Source organism: Homo sapiens, chromosome 1, assembly GCF_000001405.40.
Source record: "Homo sapiens chromosome 1, GRCh38.p14 Primary Assembly".
Lineage (NCBI taxonomy): Eukaryota > Metazoa > Chordata > Mammalia > Primates > Hominidae > Homo > Homo sapiens.
In genome coordinates, this window is record NC_000001.11 from 200,939,932 (window position 1) to 200,966,281 (window position 26,350).

General features: G+C 45.1%; 1 pseudogene across 1 annotated transcript in view; it reads left to right on the forward strand.

The window, feature by feature from the left end:
• MROH3P (maestro heat like repeat family member 3, pseudogene) overlaps positions 1 to 26,350 on the forward strand; it is a 37,725-nt pseudogene that overhangs the window by 10,988 nt on the left and 387 nt on the right. The window contains exons 5-15 of the transcript NR_147176.1: positions 8,161 to 8,305; positions 8,766 to 8,941; positions 9,593 to 9,730; positions 9,828 to 9,943; positions 17,368 to 17,508; positions 17,776 to 17,895; positions 18,092 to 18,268; positions 18,898 to 19,107; positions 20,401 to 20,502; positions 25,100 to 25,202; positions 25,779 to 25,838. The product of NR_147176.1 is annotated as a maestro heat like repeat family member 3, pseudogene (transcript). The remainder of the gene's footprint in view (positions 1 to 8,160; positions 8,306 to 8,765; positions 8,942 to 9,592; positions 9,731 to 9,827; positions 9,944 to 17,367; positions 17,509 to 17,775; positions 17,896 to 18,091; positions 18,269 to 18,897; positions 19,108 to 20,400; positions 20,503 to 25,099; positions 25,203 to 25,778; positions 25,839 to 26,350) is intronic.

Below are 26,350 nucleotides of genomic sequence, written 5' to 3' on the forward strand. Positions count from 1 at the left end.
TAATTTAAATAGAATATTTATTTATTTAAAAATATGCTGGTGATATTTTTATTGGGATTATGTTGCATCTATAGATAAGTATAAGGAGAATTGACAACTTCACAATATTGAGTTTCTGGTCCATGAACATAGCGTATCTCATTTATTTAGGTCTTTAATTTCTTTCATCAGTCTTTTGTATTTTTCAACACACAGATCTTGTGAATATTTTGTTAGTTTTATACCTAAGTATTTTTGTGCAATTGTAAATGGTACATAAATCTTTTTTAAATTTTTAATTGTTTACTACTGCTACATAGAAATAACATCAATTTTTGTATATTGACTTTCATTGACTTTATATCCTGCAATAAGTGAGGTTTCACTTATTAGTTCTTGGAGCTTTTTAATAGATTCACTGGAGTTTTCTACATAAACCATCATATCATCTGTAAATAGAAGCAGTTTATAGTGTTTCTTTTTCTTCCAAATTTGTGTTTCTTTTTCTTGCTTTATTACACTGGCTGGGACTCCTAGCATAATGCTGAGTATGGGTGATGACAGTGGACATCTTTGCTTTATTCCCAATCTTAGAGGAAAAACTTTCAGTCTTTCACCATTAAGTATGGTGCTAGATGGTAGGGTTTTGTTGTTGTTGATGTTAGATGTCCTTTATCAAGTTTAGAAAGTTTCCTTCTATTTCTAGTTTGTTGCGAGTGTTTACCACTAATGGAGATTATCACAAATGTTTTAACTACATCTATTGAGATAATTGTGTGGTTTTTCTTTTGTATTCTGTTAATATAATAAATTGCATTTTTGACTGTGGAGGCAGTCTTGCATTCCCAGGATAAACCCCATTTGGTTGTGATGTATTATCTTTTTAACATATTGCTGGATTCGATTTGCTAATATTTTGTTGAGGACTTTTGTGTCTATTTGGTTGAGGATTTTTTTCATGGGAGATATTTGGTCTGTAGTTTTTTCTTTCATTCATTTATTCTTTCTCTTTTTTCTTGTACTGTCTTGGGTTTTTGTGCCAAGATAATGCTGAACTCAAAAGATTGTTTTGGGAGTATTTTCTTTTTCTTTATCTTTTTTTTGTTTTTTTTTGAGAGACAGTCTTGCTCTGTCGCCCAGGCAGGAGTGCAGTGGGACGATCTTGGCTCACTGCAACCTCCACCTCCCAGGTTCCAGTGATTCTCCTGCCTTAGCCTCCTGAGTAGCTGGGACTACAGGCATGTGCCACCACACCCAGCTAATTTTTGTATTTTTTAGTAGACAAGGTTTTCACCATATTGGCCAGGCTGTCATCAAACTCCTGACATCATGATCTGTCTACTTCGGCCTCCCAAAGTGCTGGGATTAATGGAGTGAGCCACCGTGTCCAGCCTATTTTCTTATTTTCTATTTTTTGGAGGAAATTGTGTAAAATTGGTATTACTTTTTTTCTAAACATTTAGTGGAATTCAATACTGAAACCATCTGGATCTAGAGTTGTATTTGTTGGAAGTTTTAAAACTATGGATTGAATTTATTTATTAGTTAGGGTCATTCAGATTATCTATTAATTTGCTCATCTTCTAGTCACTTAAGGTGGAAATGTAAATTACTAATTTGAGAACTTTCTTCTTTTTTAAAATAAGCATTTTTATGCTATGAATGTTCCCCTAAGCATAGTTTTACCTGCATCTAACAAATTTTGATATATTGTATTTTCATTTTCATTTAGTTCAAAAATTTTTTCTAATTTTCCTTGAGTCTTTTTCTCTCACCCATGAATTACTTAGAAGTATTGTTAATTTCCAAATATTTGTGGATTGTCCAGGTATATTTCTGTTACTGATTTCTAGTTTAAATTTATTAAGGCCAGATAACATACTTTATGGGATTCCTTTTCTATAAAATTTGCTCAGGTTTGTTTTGTAGCCCAGAATGTGGTATATTATGGGGAATGCTCATGTGCACCTACAAAGCATGTGTATTCTGGCCAGGCGCAGTGGCTCATGGCTGTAATCCCAGAACTTTGGGAGGTCAAGGTGGCTGCATCACCTGAGTCCAGGAGTTCAAGACCAGCCTGGCCAACATGGTGAAAACCTGTCTCTACTAAATATACAAAAATTAACGAGGGACGGTGGTGCGCGCCTGTATACCCAGCTACTCAGGAGGTTGAGGCAGGAGAATCACTTGAACCTAGGGGGTGGAGGTTGCAGTGAGCTGAGATCCTACCACTGCACTCCAGCCTGGTGACAAAGTGAGAGCCTGTCTCAAAAAAAAAAAAAAAAAAGAATGTGTATTCTGCTGTTGTTGCCTGGAGTGTTCTGTAAGTTAGGTTATAGAACAACACAGTGTTGTTCAGGACTTTTATAACCTTGCTGAATTTCTGTCTACATATTCTGTCAATTACTGAGAGAGGAGTGTTGAAGTCTCCCAATATGCTTATGGATTTATCTATTTGTTCCTTCGGTTTTATCATTTTTTGCTTCATGTATTTCATTAGGTGTATATACATTTAAGATTGCTACATCTTCTTGATGAATTGACTGTTCTACCATTAATTAATGTCCCTCTTTGTCCCTGGTAATACTCTTTGTTCTGAAGTTCCCTTTGTCTGATGTTAGTATGGCCATTTTTGCTTTTCAAACAGTTTGTATTTGTGTGGTATATCTTTTTCCATTCTTTTAACTAATATGTATAATTATATTTAAAATGTTTTTTTAATATAGCATATGGTTGGACTTGTGTTTTTATCTAACCTAACAATCTCTACCTTTTAGTTTGCGTATTTAAATCATTTATAATTAAAGTAATTAATAATATGTTTGGATTTAAGTCTACCATTTTATGATTTATTTTGTTTTTCCCCTTTGTTTTTTATTCCTGTGTTCCCCTTTCCTGCATTCTTTCAAATTGTTTGAATTTTTTTAAGCATTCTATTTTAACTTGTCTATTAGATTTTGATTCTTTGTACCAATTTTTAGTGGATTCCTGGGCATTTATATGCCTAAAGTTTTATAGTCTACTTACATACCTAAATTTCCATAGTCTGCTTAGAGTTAGTATTTCACAATTTTGAGAAAATGTAGAAGCTTTCACTATACAGCTTCTTTTACCTTACTTTTTTTTGAGACAGAGTCTTGTAGGCTGGAGCACAGTGGCACGATCTCGGTCACTGCAACTTCCGCCTCCTGGGTTCAAGCGATTCTCCTGCCTCAGCCTCCCAAGTAGCTGGGATTACAGGCGCACGTCACCATACCCAGCTAATTTTTCTATTTTTAGTAGAGATGGGGTTTCACTATGTTGGCCATGCTGGTCTTGAACTCCTTGAACCTCAAGTGATCCGCCCGCCTCAGCCTCCCAAAGTGCTGGGATTACAGGTGTAAGCCACCTTGCCCGGCCTAATTTTTGCTTTCGATAGTCATACATATTTTTAAACTTAAGAGGAGAAGAACGGTCTGTTACATTTACTCATATATTTGCCATTCCTGTTGCTTTATCTTCATTGTTAAAATTTCAACTTTCACTCTGATACAATTTCTTTTCTGCTTGAAGAACTTCATTAGCATTTAATTTAGAGCATGTCTTTGAGTGATAAATTCTTAGTTTTCTTCCATATGAGAATGTTTCAATTTTACCTTCTTTTTTTTTTTTTTTTGAGGCAGAGTTTCGCTCTTGTCACCAGCTCTTGGCACCCAGGCTGGAGTGCAATGGCGTGATCTCTGCTCACTCCAACCTCTGCCTCCTGGGTTCAAGTGATTCTCCTGTCTCAGCCTCCTGAGTAGCTGGGATTACAGGAGCCCACCACCATACCCAGCTAATTTTTTTGTATTTTTAGTAGAGACGGGGTTTTGCCATGTTGGCCAGGCTGGTCTCGAACTCTGGGCCTCAAGTGATCTGCCTGCCTTGGCCTCCCAAAGTGCTGGGATTACAGGCGTGAGCCACTGTGCCCAGCCAATAAATTTCTGTTTATTATAAATTACCCAGTCTATGAGATTTTGTGATAGCAGCACAATACAAACTGAGACAATGGCAAAGGGGCTTTTTCAGCTAAGAATCTTGAGAAAGGGAGATTATTGTGAATTACTCAAGTGGGCTCTTAATGTAATCACAATGTGTCTTGTGATTGATGTATCTTGTTCGAACTTCACTGCACTTCTTGAATCTGTAAATGTATGTCTCTCACCAAATTTGGGAAGTTTTAGGTCATTATTTCTTCAGATATTTTTTTCTGTACAAGTCTCTTTTTCTTTTTATAAGATTTCAATGACATGAATATTCGACTTTTTAATGGTGTCCTATAAGTCCCTGAAGCTCTGTTAATTTTTTTCTAATTTCTTAGTTCTTCAGATTGGTATAATTTTTATTGATTCATCTGCAAGTTCATGAACCCTTCTCTCTGCAATCTCCATTTTCCTCTTGATCTCATCCAGTGAATTTTTGTTTCAGATATTGTGTTTTTCAGTTCTAAAATTTCCATTTGGTTTTTTTAAAAAATAGCTTATTCCTCAGCTAAGAACATGAGAAAATCCGTCTTTCCACTTCTTTCTTTGTTTCTTTGCTTCTCTCTCTCTCTCTCTTTCTTTAGTTCTTTTTTGAGACAGAGTCTTTCTCTGTTGCCCCAGGTAGGGTGCAGTGGCATGATCATAGCTTATTGCAGACTCAACCTCCGAGGTTAAAGCTATCCTCCCATCTCAGCCTCCTGAGTAGCTGGGATCACAGGGATATGGCACCATACCCAGCTAATTTTTTAAACTTTTTGTAGAGACAGGGTCTCTCTATGTTGCCCAGGCTAGTCTTGAACTCCTGGGCTCAAGTGATCTCCCGCCTCAGCCTCGCAAAGTGCTGGGATTACAAGTGTGATCCACCACTCCAGACCTTTCCATTTATTTCAGTTATGTACATCTTTACCTCATGCAGCATGATTAAAATGTCTACTTAAAGTATAATTATTATTATTTTTAGACAGGGTCGTGCTCTGTTACTCGGGCTAGAGTGCAGTGACGTGATCATAGCTCACTGCAACCTAGAACTCCTGGGCTCAAGTGATCCTCCTGCCTCAGCCCTCAAGTAGCTAGGACTACAGGCATGTGCCACCATGCCCGCTATTTTTTAAATTCATTTTTTAGAGAATGGATCTCACTATGTTGCTCAGGCTGGTCTTGAACTCCTGGCCTCAAGGGGTCCTTCTGCCTTGGCCTTCCAAAGTGTTGGGATTATGGGTGTGAGCCAGTGCACCCGGCCATCTCTCAGAGTTTTAGCTGCCTGTGCTGCTACAGCTGCACAACTGGATCTGGCTTCAGGGTGATGAAATGAGAAAAAAGAGAGAGAGAGAAAAAAATAGCGCTTCCCCCACCCCTACACTCAGTGGGCCACAGTGCCCTGTGTTAGGTGCTTTTGTTGCTGCCCCAACTGCTTCCACTGTGCAGCTCTGCATCTGGACTCACTCTCGGGACAGAGCTTGGGAGAGGAAAGAGACAAAGAAAGAAAGAAACAAAGATTCCACCCATACTTCTCCAACTCACAAGGACCCATTTTCCCAGTCCTCTGGCCAGAGAGACAGAGTTTTACTAAGAGATTTTGTTGCCTGTGCCTGCTGCATAGTTCAGCACTCGGGTCACCTTCGGGTCAAAGCTGGAAGATAATAGAGAAAAAAGAATTCTGGGAAACTCACTCAAATGTTGTTTTTCCAGTGTTGGGAGGTAGTTGCTTTTTGTATTTGTCCAGTGTTTTTAGTTTTAACTGGTGCGAGAGCTGGGCTGGAGTGGACTTGCTCTGTCCTAGCAGATTGTGTAGACTCTCTTACTAGGGAAATTAGGATTGCTTGTTGTTAATTTCCTTTATCATGAGAAGGAAGTGTCTTTCTAGTCTATATCTGCTGAGTATTTTTTTTCCACTCATGTGGAATTGTTTAATAAAAGGTTGATATCATATAATTAGAGTGTTTTCTTTTGGGTCGGGGGTGGTTTGAGACAGAGTCTCGCTCGGTAGCCCAGGCTGGAGTGCAGTGGTGCAATCTTGGTTCACTGCAACCTCTGTCTCCCGGGTTCAAGCGATTTGCCTGCCTCCCGAGGAGTTGGGATTACAAGCCTGTACCACCATGCATGGCTAATTTTTGAATTTTCAGTAGAGATGAGATTTCATCATGTTGGCCAGGCCGGTCTCAAACTCCTGACCTCAGGTGATCTGCCTGCCTTGGCCTCCCGAAGTGCTGGGATTACAGGGTGAGCCACTGCACCCGGCTGGACAAAGTTATAATCTGATAGGAAGAAAAAGTTCTGGCATAGTAGAGTGACTGTGGTCAACAGTAAGGTATCATATATTACAAAACAGCCAGAGGAGAGGCTTTTGAATGCTTTCAACACAAAGAAATGGTAAAATCTGCTGAGTTTTTTTGAAAAATAAAAATTAGGCTTTGAAATACCAAATGCCCTTACAACATCTAATGACATATTTATACAAATGTATACAGGTTTCTTTCTTTAACCTTTTAATTTCCAAGTGGTTAGATATTTTGATCATCTTTTTCTAGTTTTATTGGATGATAACTGGAAAACATGATCTAAATGTCTTCTCCTTTTGAGAATGTGTTGAGGGGTTCTTTTGTGTGTATAGACCAGGAAGATTAATGTTATCAATTTTACTATATGTTTAATGGCTATTTGAAATAAATTTATATTCTCTACTGCATGCAAAGTCATCTATTAGACCAGGCTTGTTTATTTATTTATTTTCCTTTTTTGTATATTTTTAAAGTACAGATGGGTCTCACCATGTCACCCAGGCTGGTCTTGAGCTCCTGGGCTCAAGCAATCCTCCCTCCTCGGCCTCCCAAAGTGCTGGGATTGCAGGTGTGAGCCACCTCACTCAGCCAGACCAAGCTTATTTAATTGTTTTATAATATCTCATTGTACAATAACTACAAACTTATTTTACCCATTTTTTTAATGACTATTTGTTGTTTCCAGCTTCTTGCTATTATTAACAGTGCTGTTATGCTCATTCTTACTCTAATATTGTGTTTGATTTATAGGCATATTTACCATTTTATTTGCTCACCATCCCTTGCACCTCAAACTTTCCTTAGGAAATTATTTTTCTTTTCCCTAAATGGGAAAGAGAAAACAATACCTCTAAAGGTATTATTTAGGAGTTTATCCTCTAGCGAGGCTCTATTGATCAAACCATCTATTTTTGTTTATCTACAAATAAAGCAAATCTGCATTAAATGATAGATTTGCTGGGAACTTGTGGGTTGATGTTTATTTTTGTTCCACACTTGGAAGGTTTATCCCACTGTCTTCTGCTCTCCACTGTTTCTGTGGAGAAGTTGGCTGTCAGTCTCATTGCCATTCTTTCACTGACGACTCATTTTTTCTCTCTTGTTTTTGTCCCCAGAGCATGCGTGTATTGTTTGCCAGCTGTGAAAGTCTGTCTTCACCTTTTATCTCACCTTCATTTCCTCAATGCTTTCTCCTCCTGTTTCAAAAAGGCCATGACTTCTTGAGGACATTAAGCACATTTTCTTAAAATTTTATGTTATTTGTAGCAAATGCTTTTCAGATATGTACTTTTCTTCTGAGTGTGATTTTTCCAGGTAAAAATGAGAGGGGAGACATGGTAGGCAAAGGGAAAGGCATGTGCCCAATGATAGAGGAGAGAGAGCTTGTGTATGGGGTGAGGCTGGGGGTGCTGTGCGGGGCTGGTGATCAGACCTGGCCTGAAGAGGGGTGTGGTCATGCTGGGTATTAAGGATGACAGGGGAAAGCCTGGAAGACAGATGCAGTGGTCTGAGGGTGGGTGGGTAGTGAAAGCTTGGACAGGCCAGAGAGAAGGGACCCACAGGGAGGCTCTTCTCACTGATCTGACACATTCAAGTGTGGTCAACAAGCTTTGGCCTCAGATATTTTCTCAAACCAGGTTCATAGACCAAGTGAACATTTCCAGATTTGTGTGAGATGACAGAGAACAGGGAGGTCTGGAGGTGATGGCAAGATGAAAGAAATAGAAGGAAAAAGAGAGAGGGGATAATGAAGAGAGAGACAAGAAAGGAGGAAGAAACCAGGGGAGCTAGGGGCCTGGGCAAAGGAGCCTAGAGTCGCCTCCCCTGGAAGCACTGTGGAGCCTGTGGAGAGTGGGTTACCTGGAGTGGGTAACTGTGTCCGTGGGTTTCTGACTCTGCAGGGGGGTTTGCAAACCCTGGGAAATCCTGGCATCCTTCCCCAAAGGCTACGAAATGATCGTGGACTACCTGCTTCAGAGGCTGACTCCACACTGGAGGCCAAAGGACCAGGAGCCCAGCCACAGAACAGAGATCTCACCATTGATTGTATGGAAAGGCCAGAAGAGGGGGGCCGGGGTGGGGAAGGGGACTCCCTGCTGTCCTGTTCTCGGCTGCCTTGGGCTCTTTGGCCTTGACCTTTTAGGTATCGGTGTTTGGTAGAACAGTATAATGGCAGTCTTGGAGTTGGGTTGCAGGGAGGGTTTTCCAGTTAACTTTGCTTTGTCAGGGAGATAGAAGAACTGGATTTCCCAGCTGCTCTTTAACTCTCAAAGATGGTAAGAGACTAAAACAACCACCATGATTAGAAGAGCGCTTTAAAACAATGACATTCTAGAAATTGCCCTTTATTTGTCTGGCTCACACTAACTTAGTCTTCACTTGCTCTAGCAGCACGGGTTTTACTGGGCAAGTCTGTCATGGTGATGGGTTGTGGAAAGAGATTTCCTGGTGACAGGACCTATGAGTCGAAGATACGATAATGCTTCACTCTCCTCCTCCCTCCAAGGCCACCAGGGCCATCCATGAGCTCCTGCTGGAACCCAGTCGGCAGATGGAGGTGCAGTCCTTCTTCTCCTCCTTGTTCATGGCCCTGCTGTTCCAGATCTCCTTTTTGGTGGTTGAAGGGGACGCTGAAACAAGCCGGGATCAGCAACACATAGCTGAATGGATGGACCCCATAAGGTACTTTGGTGTTTGCTAGTGATTATGCTCCAGGGACCATCAGCTTAGCACCTTTGCCTGACTTGGTGTCAGCCTACTGAGCCTGAATACCCTCTGTACACCCTCCTGCCAGGGCATTTAACATGTTCCCCATGCATCATTTCAAGAAGTGTCCCTGGGCTTAAAAAAATTATATTTTATTATTTTATTTATTTAGAGACAGGGTCTTGCTATTTTGCCCAAGCTGGTCTTGAACTCCTGGCCTCAAGCCATCCTCTTCTCTCAGCCTGCTGTGTTGCTGGGATTACTGGTGCGAGTCCAGCTGTCTGGACTTTTTAGAAAAGACTCCTTCTTTAAACCTGGCCTACTAGGCTGATGCAGAGATTCTGCACCAAAATGAGATCAATACTGTGGATAAAACACACATCTGGATCCACAGACCTGGATTGCATTCCTACCCTTCTGCTGGCTCGCTGTGTCACCTTGCAGATGCCACATCTCTCTTGGCCTCAGTTGCCTCACTTGTAAAATATTAGCCTGGGTCTCTGGAGGCTGTCCCACCACCAGCAGTTCATGATCCTGAGAAAGCTTTGGGAGTCGGGCAGGTGGCCAGTGAGGGAGAGGAGCGCAGATGGTGAATGACTTCGTATCTGTTTTCGGCCCTTTCTCCAGTTCTACCATGGAGGCCCTGAAGACCTTGATTCAAAGTTCTGGATATGGGGACTGTGTGTCTTCTATTCAGAGACATGGGGTCTGGGGGCTGCTTGTCAATCCTGAAAGACACTATGGCGGAGTCACTCTGCCGGCCAGGTGAGCTGCACCTGGGTCCATGGCTGGAGGGCTGTCCATTCACTTGGCCCTCTCCTGCGGCCCAGGCCTCACCTGAACACTGTGCTCTTGTTGATAGGTCCGTTGTCATCAATAACTGTTGGCACAACCGCCCCCTCTTCAGCTCCATCATCAGGTTCCTCCAGGACCCAGACCTGCAAGAATCACTTAACGGCCCTTGTGTTCCTGACAGAGGTGACTGGCTCTTGGCGGGAGGGGGCAGGTGAGGGTGATCCCTCTGTGAGACAGCCACGTCCAACAGACACCTCCTGGGAAGGCCACTGATTCACTGCTAGGAAGGGTTGGGGGACATGGCTAATGGCACTTGATTTGGTTACCTTGAGCCGGGGGCTTTGGTGCCTCCTTGAATCTCATGGCAGTTTGACTCTGCCCTGACTTTACAGAAGAACACAGCTCTCTCCTTCAACCACCTCAGCCTTGAGCAGCCTTTTAAAATTAATCCTTGCTTAGCGTCCCTGATTGACTCAATATAATTCAGCCACCTGACAGAAAAAAAATAGGAAATTTAGAAAATATGGAAAAGTATATCAAAAATTATAAAGCCATCACTAAGCATAATCCCCAGAGGAAACCATATTCATTCAGGTTTTTGCCTGTATACAGGTGTGTGTGTGTGCGTGTGTGCTAGTTGAAATCATTTTCTACTAATATTCTGTATCCTGCTCTATTCAAATATCTGTATATGTCATTACATGTTCTTTGTAACATACATTTTTAAATTTTGTTTTATTTTATTTTTTGAGACAGGGTCTCACTCTCTTGGCCAAGCTGGAGTGCAGTGGTGTGATCATGGCTCACTGCAGCCTCCATCTCCTGTTCTCAAGTGATTCTCCCACCTCAGCCTTCTGAGTAGCGAGATCTACAGGCATGTAGCACCGCGCTTGGCTAATTAAAAAAAAATTTTTTTTTTAATATGGAGAAGTGGTCTCACTATACTTCCCAGGCTGGTCTTGAACTCCTGGGCTCAAGTGATCCTCTCATCTCGGCCTCCCAAAGTGCTGGGATTACAGTTGTGAGCCACCATGCCTGGCCTATAAACATAAATGTTAATGGTGATATAATGTTTCATCACAAAGATGATCTGTAATTTATTCGACATTCTGTTTCCAATTTTACACAATTATAAATAACAGTTTAATGAACATCTCTGCGAAAGTTTTTGCCCATATTACAGATTATTTCCTTAACTATTGAATATAATAAGTGGAACTATTGGTTCAAAAAATATGAATGTCTTCTATAACTTTTAACAATAATGCCAAATTGCTTTCCAGTAGAGCTGTACCAATTTAGACTTCCACCAACAGTGTTTGGGAGAATTTCAGAGTTTCTGACCCACTACAGCTTTAAATGGGATCCTTTTAAAATTCAAGCCACCTGATTTTTTTTTTTAACAGAGGCTGGACTACTTTTGAACATAACCACAGAGATAGAAGATAATGCATTACTAATACTAGGATGTACACTGATGTTATCCCAGTGTGTCATCGTGTGCCCTTATGTGGATTACAGGACACTGGTGTCTTGTTGGAAGGTGTCCACTGCTAGAGGCTGATCTGTACATGTTGGTATGGGGTGCTGAGATACACATTCAAGGATATATGTCATGTTGGCAGAACTTTTGCTCAGGGTATGGGAATGAGACATGTAGGATTCAGAACCCTGACTGGAAGGGGATGGCTCAGTCCAGTGGATCTCGATAATTTATGAACTTCATATCTCAGGGAAGCTGTTTAAAATGCAGATTCCTGGGCCCTGTCCCCAGAGACTTGGATTCAGGAAGTCTGGGGTAAGGCCAAGAAGCCTTTTTTGCTGGTGGTGGTTTTTTTTTTTTTTTGAGATGGAGTCTCTCTGTCACCCAGGCTGGAGTGCAGTGGCATGATCTCGGCTCACTGCAACTTTTGCTTCCCAGGTTAAGCAATTCTCCTGCCTCAGACTCCTGAGTAGCTGGGACTACAGGCACGCACCATTACGCCCAGCTAATTTTTGTATTTTTAGTAGAGAGGGGGTTTCACTATGTTGGCCAGGCTGGTCTCGAACTCCTGGTCTCAAGGGATCCGCCTGCCTTTGTGCCCACCCTCCAGAAGTCTTCATTTTCTTTTTTTCTTTTTTTTTTTTTTTGTTGAGACAGAGTCTTGTTCTGTTGCCCAGGCTGGAGTACAATGGCACGAACTTGGCTCACTGCAGCCTCCATCTCCTGGGTTCATGTGACTCTCCTGCCTCAGCCTCCCGAGAAGCTGGGACTACAGGCATGTGCCACCAGGCCCGACTAATTTTTGTACTTTTAATAGAGACAGGGTTTCACCATGTTGGCCAGGCTGGTCTCGAACTCCTGACCTCAGGTGATCCGCCTACCTTGGCCTCCCAAAGTGCTGGGATTACAGACGTGAGCCACCACATCCAGACGAAGTCTTAATTTTCTAAAAGTACTCCAGTGGTGGCTGTGCCACAGGAAATGCTTGGACCCAGCTTTGGGAAACAGTACAAGGCACAAACCCGTGTGGACAGGAGGCCACCATGAGATAGCTGCCACTCTCTTTAGAGCAGTAATTGGGAACCCTGGCTGCGTATCAGTATCCTCCCTGGAGGTTTCAAAAATGCTAATGCCAAGCCCCCACCCCGCCCCTCACTCTCTGTCAAATTTTTCTATTTGAATCGATCTGGGATGGGGTCTAGGCATCAGTTTGTTTTAGAAGCTCCCAGGTTTAAAGGGATGCTCTAAAATACAGCTAGGATTGAGAATCACTCTAGAAGTTCCCCCAAGTGTCTGATACCCAGCTGAAACAAGGGGACACACGATAGAGCGTTTGCTCATCTGCCACTCTGATTGGGGTTTCGGGCTGATAACGGGGAGGGGAGGTCAGCATGCTTGGGAAGAGGCTGGAAGGAGCACCCCAGTAGCGAGATGGGTGAACCCCATTCTTAGCAATCAGAGAGAGAAGCAGTAGATTCTAAAGTGGAAAGCCAATGGGGTTTTAGGTACCAGCTAAGTAAGTAAGTCAAGATCTGTTAAGTGAGAGACCATGGCTAAGAAAGCTTTCTAATATTTCACAGCCTTTGTCACTCCCTGTTTGTTGCTTCATTATCTTTATTCATTTCCTTGAGATGATCACAAGTAGAAACGTTTAAAACAGAAAAGGTCGTATGCTTTTCTTCAGTGTACTCAAGAAACAGCAGAGCTCTGTTATTTTAATTCTCTCTAATTCTGTGAAAAGGGTGTTATTTACCTCTATTTTGTAGAGCACGAAAGTGAGGCTCAGAGAATTTAAGAAGTTACTTACTCAACTAGAGGGTAAATTAGGGTGGTGGATCTGCCTGACTGCCAATCAAAGACAGATGAAAACTGCTGAGATGTTAATGAAGACTTCTTTGCCAAATGTACATTCATATGTGCATGCATACATGCACACTAAAGCAAGTACATATATTTTAAATGTATCTGATTGAATTTTGCCTTTTTAAATGTTATTTTATTATTTAAAAGATATTTTCTATATCACAAGTCATCAAGCAATAAATGTTATTTAAAATAATCTATATACACATATAATACGAATAAGTAAATTAAACCATGCAAACTGATTATTTTTTTATTTTATTTTATTTTTTGAGATGGAGTTTTGCTCTTGTTGCCCAAGTTGGAGTGTAATGGCGCAACCTCAGCTCACTGCGACCTCCACCTCCCGGGTTCAAGCAATTCTCCTGCCACAGCCTCCTGAGTAGCTGGGATTGCAGGCGCCTGCCACCACACCCAGCTAATTTTTTGTATTTTTAGTAAAGACGGGGTTTCACTGTTGGCCAGGCTGGTCTCAAACTCCTGACCTCAGGTGATCCACCCGCCTCAGCCTCCCAAAGTGTTGGGATTACAGGTGTGAGCCACTATGCCCAGCCTATTTATTTATTATTTATTTTTGAGAAGGAGTATTGCTCTGTTGCCCAGGCTGGAGTGCAGTGGCATGATCTTGGCTCACTGCAACTTCCACCTTCCGGGTTCAAGTGATTCTCCTTTCTCAGCCTCCTGAGCAGCTGGGATTACAGATGCCTGCCACCACGCCTGGCTAATTTTTGTATTTTTAGTAGAGACAGGGTTTTGCCATGTTGACCAGGCTGGTCTCAACTTCTGACCTCAAGTGGTCCACAAACTGAGTTTTGAAGTGCAGTCTTTTTTTTTCTCTTCTACTTTTGCCTTCTCCCCTCCTACCACATTACGTCTACACCTCCACCTCTTCATCTCCCAAGTATCTCAGATGCAAGCAACCAAGTACGTACCCTTCTGCATGCTCAAATAATCACACACACATAATAGATGTTGACAGATTGTTTTCCAAAGAAGCACTAACAATTCACATTTATCTCAGGGAAGTGTGAGAGAACGGTGTCTCTATCTCTTCCAACAACAAAGCTTAACTCTTTTTAGATGTTTGTCCTCCTGGCAGGTATAAAGCAGGGGTGTCCAATCTTTTGGCTTCCCTGGGCCATATTGGAAGAAGAATTGTCTTGGGCCACGCATAAAATACACTAACACTAATGGTAGGTGATGAGCTAAAAAAAAAAAAAATCGCGAAAACCTCATAATGTTTTAAGAAAGTTTACAAATTTGTGTTGGGCCACATTCAAAGCTGTCCAGGGCTGCGTGGGGCCTGTGGGCCGTGCGTTGGACAGACTTGGTGTAAAGCAGTATCTCATTGCTGCTCTGGTTTGCATATCCCTGGCTTCTACTGATTTTGAACATTCCGCATATAATTCTGTGATTTGGATTCGCCTTTCTGTGAATTCCTTCCCATGTCCTTTGCCCATTGTCCTATTGAATTGTTTGGCTTTTTCTTGTCTACAAGACTAATTTAACTTCTGATTTTCCATTTGCATGACTACATGTGTTTTTCCATTGCAATGTTTTCCATCACGTGCATGCTAGTCTATTTTTAAACAGAGTGCATGCCAGGCTGGTTTATCCAGGTGAATGTACTGATATGTGTAAGTCTGAGCCAGCCTACCTGTGCAGACTCAAGGTGTCCATCTGGCATGTTCATTCCAAAGCATGTGCACTTAGAGCAGGAGTTCTCAACCCTGGATGCATATTCATATCTCCAGGAGAACTTACACTAATACTTGGGTGCCAACTCAGTACAATTAACTCAGAATCTTGGGGGTGACGTGGGGTCCAAGAATCAGCATTTTTAATAGCTTTGCAAGTGACACTAACATGCAGCCAAGGCTGACTGCCTAGGAGTCAGCATCGCTTTTCGATATCACCCAGCAGAGCCTGGAGTCCCCAGTGCTGTTGAATGATCATTACAAGGATTTCTTTCTTTTTCTTTTTTCTTTCTTTCTTTTGTTTTTTGTTTTTTGTTGAGGCAGAGTTTCGCTCTTGGTGCCCAGGCTGGAGTGCAATGACACGATCTCAGCTCACTGCAACCTCCACCTCCTGGGTTCAAGCGATCCTCCTGCCTCAGCCTCCTGAGTAGCTGGGATTACAGGCATGTGCCACCACACCCGGCTAATTTTGTATTTTTAGTAGAGATGGGGTTTCTCTATGGTGGTCAGGCTGGTCTCGAACTCCCGACCTCAGGTGATCCGTCTGCCTCGGCCTCCCAAAGTGCTAGGATTACAGGCGTGAGCCACTGCGCCTGGCCGACAATGATTTCTTAATAATTCTCCTTTTTCCCCCTCCCTTTAAAAAAGTTACTATTCTAGGGGACTGTCTTTGACTTTTCTCTTTTGCTTTTTCAGCACGTCAGTAAATCTGACTAATACGTGCTTTGCAGTGTTCTTCAGGGTCATCCTTTCTCCATTCCCACTACCCTGGCCTAGTCCAGACCCTTATTACCTGTGCTTGAAGCAATTATTTTAACTTTTTTTTAGAGACAGGGAGTCTCGCTATGTTGCCCAGGCTGGTCCCCAACTCCTGGCTTTAAGTGATTGTCCTGCCTCAACCTCCAGAGTAGTTGGGATTACAGGTGTGAGCCGCCACAGTTGACTAGAGCAACTCCAAAAGATAACATGCTGATCTCTCTCCTCCTAGGACCTTCTGTCAACCCAACACATTTCCCACGCCCAACATTTCTTGCCAATGGGATCCTCCTCTGGAGTCGGGCCAGCACCCAGTTGCCCTTCCCTCAACTACATTACGCTTAGCTTATCCCTACATTTCGCCCTTGTTTTGCTATACCCACCTTTTCCCGTTAAACACACACATGTTTACGTTCCCCTCCCATCTGCTCATTGAAGTTCTCTTTATTCAAGTTCAGCTCAAGTTTTACCTTTCTTTTTTTTTTTTTTTAAATTTTTTTTGGAGACAAAGTTTCGCTCTTGTCCCCCAGGTTGGAGTACAATGGCATGATCTTGGCTCACTGCAACCTCCGCCTCCCGGGTTCAAGCGATTCTCCTGCCTCAACCTCCCGAGTAGTTGGGATTACAGGTGCCTGCCACCATGCCCAGCTAATTTTTTTATTTTTAGTAGAGACGGGCTTTCACCATATTGGCCATGCTGGTCTCGAACTCCTGACCTCAGGTGATCCGCCCACCTCGGCCTCCCAAAGTGCTGGGATTACAGGCATGAGCCACCACACCTGGCCAAGTTCTACCTCTTTCACAATCTTTTCCTAGATGAATCAACACCTGTTTATAATAATTTTTTACTTGCTTTTAATTTGTGTAGTATTGTTATTGCCTTGAAATGTTCACTAGGTCGTTCATGTACCTAAGTCTTGACTCTCCAGCTGAATTGCTAGGATCTTTGAGGGCAGAGTGCATTTCTTACTTTTATCTCCTGCAGTTTCCCTTATCAAAAATGCTTAATGCGGCTGGACGTGGTGGCTCACACCTGTAATCCCAGCACTTTGGGAGGTTAGGCGGGTGAATCACCTGAGGTCAGGAGTTCGAGACCAGCCTGGCCAACATGGTGACACCCCCCTCTCTACAAAAAATACAAAATTAGCCAGGTATGGTGACACATGCCTGTGGTCCCAGCTGCTCGGGAGGCTGAGGCAGGAGAATCGCTTGAACCCGGGAGGTGGAGGTTGCAGTGAGCCGAGATCGTGCCACTGCACTCCAGCCTGGGCGACAGAGTGAGACTCCATCTGGAAAAAAAAAAAATGCTTAAGGGGCCAGGTTTGTGGTGGCTCATGCCTGTAATCCCAGCACTTTGGGAGGCTAAGGCGGGTGGATCACCTGAGGTCAGGAGTTCAAGATCAGACTGGTCAACATTCTGAAACCCCATCTCAACTAAAAAATACAAAAATTAGGTGGGCATGGTGGCACATGCCTGTAGTCCCAGCTACTCAGGAGGCTGAGGCAAGAGAATTGCTTGAACCCGGGAGGTGGAGGTTGCAGTGAGCCGAGATCATACCACTGCACTCCGGCCTGGGCGACAGAGCAAGACTCCATCTCAAAAAAAGAAAATGCTTAAGGAAAACTTGGAGAATGAATAAATGACTTCTGGGATGACAGGTGCAAATTCATCCTTAAAGCTTTGGCCTCTCTACCAATTCTAAACCCTTAAGAACATTTCCCTACTAGTGAGTAGGAACCTAGTCCAAAGTCATTGAGGATTTTTTTTTCTCCTTGCCCACCTGTCTTTCTTGGTCTCCCTTCCCCAGCTGCTTCAGTGCCCAGATGTGGCAGCCTTAGTGGATGACTTCACCACCTGCATTCTGGCAAACTGGTTCAAGAGTGAGGAGCCAGCCACAGTGAAGCCATTGCTGCAGATGCTAGAGGTCTTTGCGAAGCATGAAAACATGGTAAAATGGGGCAGGGGCTAAGGGTGTGCGCTCAGGAGATGTAACCAGGAGAAGGAACATCTGGTGTGTCCAGTTATAGATAGGGTGGGACACACTCTTGGGATCAAAGAGAGCAAATCCTCATGAGGCCAGTACAGCACAGACAGGAGTTGGGGCTTGAGCCATTCATGATTTCTCCCTCCCAGGAAAGGTCTCCTGAGGAAGTTTTTTCATGGGTCATTTCAGAGAATAGACCAAGCTAACCCCAGGATCTCACACGTCATCCAGGTCCCTTGGAGATTGCTGTCATCATCAGGGATGAGAAGCGCAGTGGCGATGGAAACTTACAGTGTAGTGGGAGGAGGGGGCCTCCTCTGTTTTCTCCCCTTCCCTCATGATGGACACAAGGTACCTCCCCAAATGCCCTCCTGGGCAGCTCACTCCGATGGCCACCCAGATGCTGGGCCAGTCCCAGCTCTGGAATGAAAAAGCAGTAGAGTGTGGCTCTCAATTGTGGGGCTGAATTGACTTGAAATGAGAATTCCTTGGCTTGGCAGGAGTTATTTCCCCAGCTCCCCATTCCCTGAGCCACTGTCTCCCGCAGGTGAGGCGGCTCCGAATCCTCCAGCCCTATGTGCTGAACTGCTGCTACTCCTCGAACAGCGACATCGTACTGGAGACTTTGCTGGTGCTGAAGAATCTCCTGAGCCACCTCACCTGGCAGCACTCCTCCTCCTTCCTGACCCAGCTCACCTTCACGCTGGTGCCCTTCTTTGAGGAGGTGAAGGCCTCTCTGGGGTCATTTTCTTTCTTTAGGCATCTGTAAAATAAGGGAGTTGGCCGCGTGTGGTGGCTCACACCTGTAATCCCAGCACATTGGGAGGCCGAGGCAGTGGATCACATGAGGCCAGGAGTTCAAGATCAACCTGGGCAACATAGTGAGGCCTCATTCTAACAACAACAACAAAACAACAACAACAACAAATTAGCTGAGTCCGGTGGTATGCGCTTGTGGCCCCAGCTATTTGGGAGGCTGAGGCAGGAGGATTGCTTGAGCCCAGGAGGTCAAGGCTGCAGTGAGCTGTGATCGTGCCATGCACTCCAGCCTGGGCGACAGAGCGAGATCCTGTCTCAAACAAAACAAAAAACAAAACCCCTCACAGAGTTGGCAGAATGATTCAAGGTCGTTCACCTTGAATACGATACTGTTCTGTAGGGACTTGATTGCTCCTGCCCTCCTTGTATCTTTCTGAAGGGGTGAGATGGAGCAAGAGAACAGAGCACAGCAGGCGGGGGTCAGAGCAGGTCATTTGAGGGAGCGAATGGACACAGGAGTGTGGGGTTGGCGGGGGTGGAGCTCAGGGACGTGATGGCTTCTGCTTCCCCACGCATGCGTGTCTTCTCTCCCAGGTGTCAGAGCATCTGCGGTTGGCAGCCTTTGAGATCTATGGGAGTCTCTTGACCAAGGTCAAGAAGAGGGGCCTTGTCTTCCCCTTGAAACACCAGATCCTCAACTTGCTAGTCCCCCTGGTGCTCCACCTGAGGGACGTGAATACCGATGTGTCTCTGGTGAGAGGCCAGGCCTTGGAGCCTGGCCTTCAGTCCCCGTTTTCATGGGAGGTAAATGCTAAACATGTTGAGTGCTTAGGCAGGGCTGTGGCAGTACTGGATGGTGCTGAAGGAGTCAACTAGTCTCTGACCTTGCAGAGTTTTAGTGAGAGACTAGAGATGAACAGACGCTTGCACTAAAGTTTTTTTTTTTATTTTTATACTTTAAGTTTTGGGGTACATGTGCACAACATGCAGGTTTGTTACATACGTATACATGTGCCATGTTGGTGTGCTGCACCCATTAACTCGTCGTTTAACATTAGGTATATCTCCTAATGCTATCCCTCCCCCCTCCCCCGACCCCACAACAGGCCCCGGTGTGTGATGTTCCCCTTCCTGTGTCCATGGCTTGCACTAAAGTTTTCTCCAGCTTCTGGCTCCATCTGGTTGGCCACTGACTCCCAGTGGAATACTGTGGGTGTTTCTCCTGGGAGGAAAGTCTCATCGACGGGCAGCAGTCCCTCTCTCTGCCTCCCTGCCTGTGGCTCCAGGGGGCCCCTCTCCATGCTGCTCTCTGCATACTCTCTGCCTGTGAATAGAGACAGAGTTCCCTGGGTCGGGAAGACCCCGTGGGAGGCAGTGTGGTGGGCAGAATAGAGACGGCCTGGAACTGGCCTACATTTCGGAATGAATGAGTCCAGCTTTGAGCCCAGGAGACCCAGGAACGTGAACTGCAGCTTGAACACTTGAAGACTGGCTGACTTACTCTGTGACAGGACACCTTGTTTCCACAGAGCAGGCTACTCTGCCGTCACTGAGGCCTCTTAGGCGCATCTGAGGCCGGCTGGGCAAGCGATTGAATGGGGATATTATCTTTGCGCGGGGGTGTCCCACCGGTGAACTCAGCCGTGGTATTCCTGACAGAGCCAGCCCTGATTTAGAACAGTGACCACCCAGTTGGGGGATTAAGACTTCGGGGAAATTTGTTTTCAGAGAGACTGTTTTGTGGGGCAGGGAGGATGGGGGGGCGGCGGCGTGGGAAGCCATGTCTCTGGTGAATAAGGCTCTGAGCTGGATAGTTCCAGTGCTCCGGGTCGCAGTGTCACACCACAACAATTGGGAAAATTGTTAGAACTGTAATTTTTAAACTTCTTATTAGTGGGAAAAGGGGGTTGTAAGTAGAGCCAAGCTGCCTGGACCCCTGCCTTTTTCCTAAGCCCTGGATCCCTGTCGATTCACCAGTGAGATTTCCATCCCATCGAGGCTGAATGTGATGCCGCTTGTCTCCGTTTTTTGCACCCCTCTGTGTCCCTGCCCAGTGCCACTCCCCAGCTCCTCATGCTGAGCCTCCTTGTCTCCCAGATCTGCCGGTCTGCCCTCTGCCACACTGCTGCCGTGCTGGGCTGGTCAAAGCTGAAAGCAGTATTTGCAGAGAAAGATGTGTGGAACATTCTTGGAGCCCTGGTAAGCCAGCAGCTTGCTCACTGTCTGCCCCTATGCGAGGGAGGGTGGCATCCCCAGCGGTCTAGGTCCTTTTCCTGCAGCTCTGGGGTTTGCAGCAGTAGTGGCAGCGGGCAGCAGCAACAGTTCAACGATGAGAGACTCATTAAGCACCTACTTTATGCTCAGCACCTAGATATGGTTCCTGCCCTCCCCTTGTTTCCTGTCTGAATTGGGGAGCTAGGCACACAAGTAGACAATCCCAGAATACTTTGGGAAAGGCAAAGGAGGGGTACCCAGCACAGTCTGGGAGTTGAAGGAAGGCTTCCTGGAGGAGGTGTCATCTTCAGAAGGAGAAATAGAAGGCAGGGTAACACTTAGGCAAAGGGACGGAATCAAGAGTGCAGGCCAAGGTGATGCTGTACACAGGGGTGTGGAGCAAAGCACTCACTCTGTTCCAGGGACTTTGCACACATTATCTGGTATGATTTGATCCTCACAACCATCCTGAGAAATAAGGGCAGAAGGGCCTGGTGTGTGGGGAGCTATTAATATAAGTGCCTTGGAATCATTAGAGCAGGGGCAGAAAAGGCAAATGCTTACAAGGCCATGTGGGAAACACTAACCAGAGGTCAGACTGGGTGGGCCCGGAGGAGAGATGTAGGCCCCAAGGCCCAGCACAGGCAGCCTCCTCAGCATGGCCAGAAACCACACACCGTTGTCACAGCACACATTTAGTGACACCAACTTTACTCTCCTAAAGTGAAATTCGTAAATAATATCCTCTACCTTTGCATATTTCCAAAATAAGTAATATAATGCCCTAACGCCAAAGGAGAAGTGAAAGTAATCTACAACAAAATAATCTGTGTGAATATATGGAACACAATACAGCATAACACAATATAATAATAGAAAATAAATACTATATGTAAATGCTTGGGCCAAGTTACTTTTTATTTATTTATTTATTTATTTGAGACAGAGTCTCACTCTGAAGCCCAGGTTGGAGTGCAGTGGTGCGATCTCAGATCACTGCAACCTCTGCCTCCCGGGTTCAAGCGATTCTCCTGTCTCAGGCTCCCGAGTAGCTGGGATTACAGGTGCTTGCCACCAGGCCCGGCTAATTTTTGTATTTTTAGTAGAGACGGGGTTTCTTTTTATTTTTGAGACGGAGTTTCATCATGTTGACCAGGCTGGTCTCAAACTCCTGACCTCAGGTGACCCGCCCACCTCAGCCTCCCAAAGGGCTGGGATTATAGGTATGAGCCACTACGCCCTGCCAGGGCCCAGTTACTTTAGAAGAAAATGATGTGCATGAATCCTTGCCCCTCTCCATAGAATCAATGTGAATGGATCTGCTACAAATGCAGAATGTTATAGGAGTTGGAGACTCATACCACAAGAAGGGTCACCGTTGGTGATGGGACTTCCAAAATGATTATATTAATAGCTCCCCCCACACCAGGGAAGTCTGATTAGACCAGAAAGTCTGATGACTTTCTGAACAAGATGAAGTATAGTCTTTGATGTCTATTGCAGATGCATTCCTAGAAAATCCAGTATGTAGTTGAACTGTGAAAAAGTTCTCTGTTATCTAAAAAAGCCAATTTCTAGGCATGGATTATTATAAGTAGGTTTTTGAGAGACATAAATGTGTAATGGGATATTAGAAATAGGTGTACCCCCACTCATCATTTTGAAAACCATAAACATCCCCCAGTTCCATAATTCCCTCCACACAGTACAGTCCCCAGTTGAGAACCCACCAATTGTTTCTAGGAAAGTGGCTCAGGGTTGTTAAGAGAAGCAGGAAATCGATGCCAGGTGCGGTGGCTCACGTCTGTGATCCCAGCACTTGGAGAGGCCAAGGTGGCTGGATCACCTGGGAACAGGAGTTTGAAACAGCCTGGCCAACATGGGGAAACCCTGACTCTACTAAAAATACAAAAATTATCCAGGCGAGGTGGTGGACGCCTGTAATCCCAGTTACTCGGGAGGCTGAGGCGGGAGAATCGCTTGAACCCAGGAGGCGGAGGTTGCAGTGAGCTGAGATCGCGCCACTGCACTACAGCCTGGGTGATAGAGCAAGACTCTGTCTCAAAAAAAAAAAAAAATTAAAAAAGAAAGCAGGAAATCCTGATTGGGGTGAAATTTCCCCCATTAATGTTGGCAAATAATTTAAAATGTAAAATGCTGCGTAGATCAAACAAAAAAAAATATCTTCAGGCTGGCTTTGCTCATGGACTGTCAGTGTGCAGTCCGGTCTGGGCAGGAGACACCAAGCAGGAAGCAGGAGGCTGGGCCACACTGTGCTGTGGAGGTTTGGGCCCAGTGAGGAGCAGGACTTGAGGCTGTAGGCAAGGGGAGTTGTTGAAGCGTTTTAAGCAAGTGGGTAGCATGGTTACAGAGCTGTGCATTTCACACAAATCACCCAAGCTACAGATCAGAGAAACATTCCCAAGGGACGGAATTGGAGCCTGTGCTGGAGAGTGTCTGGGGAGAAATGATGAAGTCAAGAAGACAAAGGCATGGGCGGGATTAGCTAGTTGTGGAGATTGATTTGATGTGAACTGTGGAAGTAAAAGTTGCCTCTTGGCTTCTGACATGGGTGAATGCTGGTGTCCTGGACTGAGGTCAGAAATACAGAGGGAGGAACAGGTGTGGAGGGGAAGGTGGTGGCTTGATTTTGGGCATGTTGAGCTTGTAAAATCTGTGAGAATGCTAGTACATCTATTCCATTGGAAGTTAGATATGTATCACTGAAGCTTGGAGAACAGGGCTGTGTTTGGTGAACGCTGAGCATACCATTGGGTGGTAGATGGAGATTGCAACCCTAAGCCCAGACATGCTCTCCTAAGGTAATTGTGTGGTGGGAGGAGTATATGAGTCAACACTGAGATTCCAGGAGACATCAGTTCCAAGGATCCCACAGAGGAGACTAGAAAAGGAAACCAGGCAGAAAGTCAAAGGAGGACAACAAGAGAGGAGAGTCATGGTCACCTAGGAAGGACCATGACCAGTTTCAGGAAGCAGTCAAGGGTACAAAAACCCAAGGGTTTCTCGGGTAACTTCAAAAGATGGGAGAGATGAGCAGGCAGGCTAGGCTCAGCCTCCCCACCTCCTTCAACCCAAGCAGCCCCACTTCTCCTTCTCTTTCTCCTTCTCCTTCTTTTTTTTGTAGAGACAGGGTCTTGCCATGTTGCCCAGGCTGGTCTCCAACTCCTGAGCTCAAGTGATCCTCCTGCCTTGGCTTTCCAAAGTGCTGGGATTACAGGCGTGGGCCACCACACCTGCCCCCCCACCCCTTCTGTTAGTTTGGGATATTGGGTTTCCAGTTAAGATTTCTTTTTGAAGAAAAGATCCTGTCAAAAGAAGTTGGGAAAAACCATGGATGTAGCCTTCTGTTTTAAGAACTTAGACTGCAGAGTGAAAGAGGAGAGTTAGGATCAGAGCTAGGAAGGAGATGCAGGAGATGGGGTTTGGGTTAGTGGTTGTTGCAAAGGGAAGGACACATCATCCTTTGAACCTTCAAGGATGGAAGTCTGATGAATGCAGAAGGGGCTGCATTCCTAGGCAGGCGATGGAGGATATGAAAACACGTAATTACATGCAGCACTGCTAGGCTCTGTTATTTTTATTTATTTATTTTAAATATTTTATTTTATTTTATTTTATTTATTTATTTATTTATTTATTTATTTATTTATTTATTTATTTATTTTTTGAGACGGAGTCTCGCTCTGTCGCCCAGGCCGGACTGCGGACTGCAGTGGCGCAATCTCGGCTCACTGCAACCTCCGCCTCCTGGGTTCAAGTGATTCTCCTTCCTCAGCCTCCTGAGTAGCTGGGTCTACAGGCACACACCACCACACCCGTCTAATTTTTTGTATTTTAGTAGACATGGGTTTCACCATGTTGCCCAGGCTGGTGTTGAACTCCTGAGTTCAGGCGAGCTGCCTGCCTTGGCCCTCCAAAAATGCTGGGATTACAGGTGTGAGCCACTGTACCCGGCCTATTTTAAGAACTTTAGATTCGGGGGTGTGGGTGCTGGCTTGTTACATTGGTATATTGTGTGATGCTGAGGTTTGTGCTTCTAATGTTCCCATCCCCAAGGAGTGAACATAGGCCATAGGTAGTTTTTCAACTCTTGCCCTGTTCCCTTCCTCCTCTTTTTTGGGATTCTCAGTGTTTATTGTTCCCATCTTTGTGTTGATGTGACTAAGGCTCTGCTTAAACAGAATGCTGTAGGCATGATCTTTTGCAACCTAAAGCATATGACTTTGAGATTGAAGATTTAAACTAAGATAGAAATAAACAGGATTTAAGCAACAGGGTTCACTCTATTGTTGGGAGTAGGAGAAAAAAATGTATGAGCCAAACAGTGGGGCCAACCTCTTATGAGTTTCATGCTCAAACTGCGTCAAGGCCAGGGAGTATGATCTCTGTGGCATGTTCAGTCCAGGAAGGCTTCATGAAAGAAAGAAGATTTCAGGAGCCGGGGTAGGAGGGGATGGAGAAGGAGACGGTTTTGACAGATTTTTGCCCTCAGGGGATGGCTCCAGTGTAATCTCAAAACTGTCTGAGGGTCCCTGCCATAATCTGACACCTTTTCTTACAGCTGGATCAGGAGACAAACAAAGCCCTCTGGTTTCTGAAGCAGTGTGTGGCTCTCTTCAAGAGCCCATAGGTTCCCATCCGCTGGGCAGCTGTGTGGTTTGCAGGTATGGCCTTTTGTCTTCTTGGAGCCACTGTGTCCTTGTTGTAGGGTCCCTTAAACAGACTGGGCACCCAGGACATGAGGACATACAGAACCCATGGGAATTATGTTGGGTGGTGGGACTGGAGGTGGGAGTGCCTACCTGTGCCTACCTGCTCCCTCCCCTGCAGGAAACTCCTGGTCGGGTTGGGTGGTAATCTTCCTACAGCAGAATGTGCCAAGTCCTACGAGCCAGCAGAGAGACAAAGGGTGGGGCATCCGGGGTCTGGGAGCTGCTCAGTGGGGGAAGTTCAGAGATAGGCGGGGGACTGCCTCAGATCACCCCAGGGAAGAGCTCTTCAGGGCAGAGGAAGATCCACTCCTTCACCCAGCCCTATTTGCTTAGAATCCTTCAGAGAAGCAAGGGACACAAGTTTGACTTTATGGGAAAAGTCCAAACCTGAGGCTGGTGGCCAAGGGAGGGAAAGACAGGAAAAAGGAGGGAATAGTGAGTGTCTGGGAAGGGGGCCAAGAGTACTTGCAGCCAGGGCCCCACTGATTCCTTGTGGGGCCTCTGAGGTGCTTTTGTGTGCTCCTGTAGGTCAGATTATCCAAACCCTAGACTTGGAAGAGATCGATGAAATTGAGGAGGCATACACAGGTGAGTGGCAGCCCAGTCGCCCCCTCCTTGCATCTTTTAGTGGCACCGGTGTTGGTGGGGAATGCTCAGAAGTTAGGAAAAGTGAGCGGATGGACTCACAAAAATGATCATCCAGACGTGTGAAAAGGCAGGCTCATCCCCAAGGTGCTTAGGTTTTGAGGTGCTGGTCAGAGCCCTCCTGCCCCATGTTCACTCACACCCTCACCACCACGGAGCCCATTCATCAGCCAGGAGGGTCCCTTGGGTTTCTTGTAGGAGAGACAGTTTTGGGCTCCCATGTGTGGTCGAGTCCCTGGCTGCAGCTCTTTTTGAAGTCAGAGAACTTCACACACAGCTATTCTATGGGAAAGAGAGGACGCAGGGCCAGGGAGGGGCAGTGGAGAGGAGTGAGTGGGTTGGTAATGGGTGTAGGGTCAGGAGCAGGTGGGCCTCGCATCTCCCTGTGCTCATGGCAGCTATGTGGTCTTGCTTGTAATGGAGCATTGTGGACTCCTAGAAGAAACTCTTGCTCA